The 6,033-nt window shown below is 41.8% G+C and overlaps 1 annotated feature.

The window, feature by feature from the left end:
* Positions 430 to 622: a silencer, noted in NCBI's record as "fragment chr10:34072014-34072206 (GRCh37/hg19 assembly coordinates)". NCBI's record gives its function as "represses an EF-1alpha promoter that drives an FKBP-Casp9 reporter gene in an ReSE screen in K562 erythroleukemia cells {active_cell/tissue: K562}" and the evidence as "EXISTENCE:reporter gene assay evidence [ECO:0000049][PMID:32094911]".

The following is a 6,033-nucleotide window of genomic DNA, read 5'->3' as shown; positions in this document are numbered from 1 at the left end:
CTCACAAGTTTCTGTATCTTCAGGGTACAGCACTGGGGACCACAGAGAAAATAAGCTCAGAAAAAAAGGCAATTGGGTTTTCTCAGACCACAATGACCTCTGAGTAATGAGGCATTTGCTCCCCAGGTAGAGAACCTTAGCTAAAAAATGTATAATATAAATTGAAGTTAAGTATAATAATAAAATAGACAAGTGCAGATGATCTAACATGACACCTGTGTGGTGTGGTGTTTTCCCATAGAACTTAAATGCTGTGATCAATATTGAACCCAGGAGAAATTGGGATATGAGGGTAGCTGCATGAGACTTGTCTGATTCAACTTTTATGTAACAAAGTTGTGAGCTGTTTTTCAGTTACCATGGACCCTCAAGTCACGTGACCTGAGCATGCCCAGATGAACCAAGTGTGCAACCACAGGGGGAACCCAAGTGCTCAGATAGAGCACGGGGGACTGAATTAAGAAGCGGACACAGCATGGTAGGATCCAGGATCAAATCAGATGGAGCCCTGGTGTCACCCCACAGCAAGATCCAGTCAGATCATGCCACTTGGCATCACCTCATTGCAACATCCAATCAGATCACACTTCATTACCCCATGCTTATAAAACCTGACCCAGTCCCCAGCTCCGGGAGCCACTGCTTTGGGAATTACCCCTGGGATTCTCCTTACTTGTTTCAAGTAATAAAATCCCCTGGCTAAATCCTCCTTTGTGGTGGTCATTGGGCTGATACCCACCAAGCTACTGAACCCACCCGTTGTGTAGGTAACACAAGTGCAACAAGGTCTAGCGCCTCAGAAGCAGTGTGTAGCCAGAAGCAGCCTATCTGGTTGGATTATCTAAGAATGGAGTTTTTTTTCTATTTTTTCTTTTTTCTTTTTGAGATGGAGTCTCGCTCTGTCCCAAGCTGGAGTGCAGTGGCATGACCTCGGCTCACTGCAACCTCCGCCTCCTGGGTTCAAGTGATTCTCCTGCTTCAGCCTTCCAAGTAGCTGGGATTACAGGAACATGCCACCACACCTGGGTAATTTTTGTATTTTTAGTAGAGACGGGGTTTCTCCATGTTGGTCAAGCTGGTCTCGAACTCCCGACCTCAGGTGATCTGCCCGCCTCACCCTCCCAAAGTGCTGGGATTACAGGCGTGAGCCACTGTGCCTTGCCAAGAGTGGAATTTCTGGCATCCATCCCATAGGAAACACATTAAGTATACACTCACAGTTCTACCACTGTGTACTCTGATGGAGTCCATGGTCAAACATTAGGGCTTCAATCTTATGGGTCAGATTTTTCTGGCTGTAATGAAGCTGGAGGAAATTGGAATACATTTCCATTTCTGCTTTTAGTTTTTCAGTTTTGCCATCTTCCACTATTCATAGGCAGTCATGTTCCTTGACTTGAGTTCAAGGAAATGCTATAAAGTTTCTTAAGTCTTTTTCCTTACACATACTTGTAGTGCAAATGGCACTTATGAGGCATCTATATAGAAAGAAAGAACTGCCGGGCATGGTGACTCATGCCTGTAATCCCAGCACTTTGGGAGGCTGAGGTGGGAGGATTGCTTGAGGCCAGGCGTTTGAGACTAGCTTGGACAACACAGCGAGACCTGGTCTCTACAAAAAAATTTAATTAATTAAAAAAGAAAGAGAGAACTAATATAGAGTTGAATGAATGAATAAATTAATATAGAGTTGAATGAACGAATAAATGAGTAAGAGAATGGAGGCTATAAAACTCTAAATCGATTTGCTGAAGCTTTTCAAGCTGACATACTTCTCAGGGCAACAGAGCAGGAAGAGAAAGTCCCTGGTGGCTTGCGCAGTCAGGGATATGAAGAGGAAGAGTAACTCTCCCTCATTCCATTAGAACAGCTGCTACTTCTTTCACTGGTTAGGCAGAAATTCTTTTCAGAAGTCATGAAGCATTTTACGTGTATTAAGTTATGGGTTTTCTTTGCTTTTGCATATTTCTAGTTTTTTCTTCTTTTTTTTTCCACTCCAGGCTATATCCATGGGATTTGTGGAACTCATTGGAAACAAAATTTCTGATATTTAATCCAGTCAATCCACACACTGCTTTTCAGAGGGATTAGAGCTTTCTCCAGTTTGTGGACAGTACACACTGTAACCTCACCTCAAAATCACAACCAAACTTTGGATTACAATTTGATCTGGCCACTCTGGACAAAATGGGTACACTGCTTTTGTATCCAGCCTTCTTTATGATTGTCTTGTTATCTGTTTCTGAGCTATGTGGAAATGATTGTCTACATGTGCACACACACACACACACACACACACATTTAAACACACAGAAGCATGCACAAACATTGGTGTTTCTTTCTACAGGGAAAATGGAGGGCAGGGATATAGTTCATCATTTTATTTGCTTCACTGAATTACGATTCTACGTGTACCATTGGCTTCATTCCGAAGCTGCCTGAGCACAAGGGGGCGAATTCTGTTACAGCACAAGGCTGTACAACTGAGCAGCCAAAAGTATTTAGTGTTGCATTTGTTGTTGATTTTGAAAACAAACAAATGTGCATTGACGTAAAGCGATCTAAAAATTCAATTCAGGCATACTGACTTTTTTCACACTTAGGCATCAGAGAGTAGCTGAGAAATGAAAGATTCAACCAATAATGGATACGTGCCAGCCCGTGGATGTAATGCACATTTGAAGGCTTTTCATCTCAAGTGTTGATCACAGTTTTTAGCACGAATGAACACTCTGGTTGGCACTTTGAATGTTTTTAAGGGGCGTGGATGGACGTAAATGCTTGCATTCCTGTACAGTTTCTTTCTTCTCCACCTTCTTTGCTTTTTTCGGATGCACACAGAAGGATCTCTTTATCTGAAATCTGTCCCCACAAGCTTTGTACTTCATCAGACACCAGGCTGAGACAGGAGAACTAGGTTTCCTACTTCATTGTACCCCAAATCTCAGGGGAAATTGTCAATGATGGAAAATCTGAGAAGCCACTGTTTGGTAGAGGCCTCCCAAATCAAGTTATTACTTTTTTTGTTTTGTTTTGTTTTGATTTTTTTGAGATAGAGTCTCACTCTGTGGCCCAGGCTGGAGTGGAGTGATGCAATCTCGGCTCACGGCAACCTCCACCTCCTGGGTTCAAGTGATTCTCCTGCCTCAGCCTCTTGTGTAGCTGGGATCACAGGTGTGTGCCACCACACCAGGTAAATTTTTGTATTTTTAGTAGATATAGGGTTTTGCCATTTTGGCCAGGCTGACCTTGAACTCCTGACCTCAGGTGATCCTCCCACCTTGGCCTCCCAAAGTGCTGGGATTACAGGTGTGAGCCACTGCACCCAGCAAAGCTATTACTTTTTAATGAATGATTTATTCTAGAAATTCCCAATCTTTTGGGGCTTGTCATACTCTTATTTTTAGAGTTGTGCTATTCTCAACTCTGCCTGTTTTCTAAAAGAGCTTATATTTTAGACCATGAGCTAGCATGTCAAGAGAATTTAAATTATTGTGATCTCTTGAGGCAGTTTATAAAAATGTGTGAGTTTTCTGTTTTTACAATCACTGGACTCCTCCCATCCTGGGACAACATCAGGATGGCAACGTACTGATCTGTCATCTTCTTCTAGTGTAGGATGAGCTGCCACTCTGTAAAACTAGGCATTGCTTAACCCAGGTACTTCTGTATACATACACCAAACAGTATGGCCCCCAAACAGCAGGTGATTGTTATTTAATGCACAGAGCTAAACAGAGTAATTATAGGTTCCGAGGTAACAGGCCACATGGATGGAAGCTGCCTCAGTTCGGGCTTTCTTTGCATGAAAGTGTTCTAATTATATCTTTAATGGCCTAGAATTCACAAGAAGCTAAGAAAGCAATACATTGATATTCTTTCTGGGATTGTATTGGTTGATTGTTTTTGTTTTGTAAAGTTACACAAGGAAATGTTGAAGAGTCTATCAATACTTCAGCAGAGGTGCTTATTCCCTCTGAAACTGGCAGATCCTAGCCTTGAGACATACCCTGCCGTATAATACTTTATTTAGGTTTTGATTTTTTGAAAAGTGGGTTTCAGGGTCTGAAAGATAACTCCTTTTGAAAGCACGTCTTTTTGGTTTTCAGGGTCTGAAAGATAACTTTCTTATGTTGGTATTCTAACAAATACTGATTGCAATCATCTTGTGTAGCTTTAGTTTAACTCTAAGCTATAAAGTAGAACGAAGTCCTTACTGTTTGCATTTTCTTAATGGAAGATAGTTTAACAGCATTGTATTTCACCCAGATTTTAACTCATTATAGTTTTATAAGCTTAGGAGAATATCATTTTCATTGAAAAGCTATAAACATCATTTCTATTTCTTGAGCCATATGGAATGCATGATTAAATAAATAGAAATCATATAACAGTACCTACAAAATTATTTTTATTATATTTAATGCATTAAAAAAGCAAAAGGGTATTTTAAAACTGAGACTAGTGATGACTTCCTTCTGGAGTCTACTGTTAGTGTGTGTTTATCATATGCCAATCAACCAAGCAAATCTATGAATCGGCCATTTTAATAGGGGAAAAAAGTGGGTCAAACCAATTGTTTGGTCTTATATAGCTAAACTGATTGGTCAAATGACCTAAATTTTGCTGGCCAACACGTTGTCATGATGTCTTGTAGCATCATGTCGTAGTCCAAATTGGGATATGAAACTGCTCCAGCAAAAGTGCCCTTGTGGTACCTTTGCTACATTACTGAGTAGCACATCGGGAGGGCCTTCCTTTAGATGCATTTCCACTGACCACTGCAATCTTTGGGACCTTCTTAGAAGCATTGTGGTTGCAGTAGCACCTTTAGGCATTGGTGGAAGGATCAGTCCTGCTGGCAGGTATCACTGTAGCCTGGTAGCTTTCATGTTTTAGGGCCAGAGTAGTCAAAAGATTGAAAAAACTATCTGATTATCCTCCTGGTTTTTTCTATTTTTAGTGTTATTTTACTTTCTTTTCTCTCCATTGAAGAGAAAGTGATTTTCCCAAGCTCAGGAGGAAAGAGTTACCTCCCTACTCTCTCCCATAGTCTCACCTACAACAAGATGAAAAAGTGAAATAATCCCACTTTATAGATTCATGAATTCTGCTTTTGCTTGTGGTGTGATCATCTAAAAATACCTACTTAACTTTCTCATTGGATGTTTAATATAGGCTTATATCAAACTAAAACTCAAGAGAATATGGAAGTACTATACTGTTCAATTCTTTTTTTTTAAATTTCTTAAACTAATGGGCTCAAGTGATCCTCCTGCCTCAGCCTCCCAAAGTGCTGGGATTGCAGGTGTGACATGAGGTCTTGATTGGCCCCAAGAGTTCCTGAAGTGACCCCGGTAGGTGTCTGTTTGCATGACAGGCAGAGGCTAGGTCTCAGCCTCAGTAAAGCATGCCTTGAAGCTCATGGGGGCACATTTCCAAGGCCACCATAATATCTGTCACTCTAATTTCATTCACCCAAGTTCCCAAGGGCTCAAACAGCAGTCCGAGGAAGAAGCTATAGTAAAGACCTGAGTGACAAAGGAAAGAGCTATTTTCCTAACACTCCTATATCACATGCCAGGACTTGTGGCCATGGCCTACGTGATAGCTCAGCCACTGGTGTGGACAGTGGGCACTTTCTCCCTTTATCATTGGGATATGAAACTGCTCCAGCAAAAGTGCCCTTGTGGTACCTTTGCTACATTACTGAGTAGCACACTGGAAGGGCCTTCCTTTAGATGCATTTCCACTGACCACTGCAATCTTTGGGACCTTCTTAGAAGCATTGTGGTTGCAGTAGCACCTTTAGGCATTGGTGGAAGGATCAGTTCTGCTGGCAGGTACCACTGTAGCCTGGTAGCTTTCATGTCCACAGCCACCGATGGCATCTTGACCAAAAGCCAGAGAAAAGGACAGTGGCAGGTGCCACGCAGTAACTTACAGAGCTCAAGCACCCCAGAAATAACCTCTCATGTCCCAGAAAGGAAGATGAGGGTTTGAGGGGACTGGCCATTCTGCAGTTATGGGAGG

This window comes from Homo sapiens, chromosome 10, assembly GCF_000001405.40.
Source record: "Homo sapiens chromosome 10, GRCh38.p14 Primary Assembly".
Classification (NCBI taxonomy): Eukaryota; Metazoa; Chordata; class Mammalia; order Primates; family Hominidae; genus Homo; species Homo sapiens.
The sequence above is the reverse complement of the archived record's forward strand: the minus strand, read 5'-3'. Positions and strand labels throughout refer to the sequence as shown.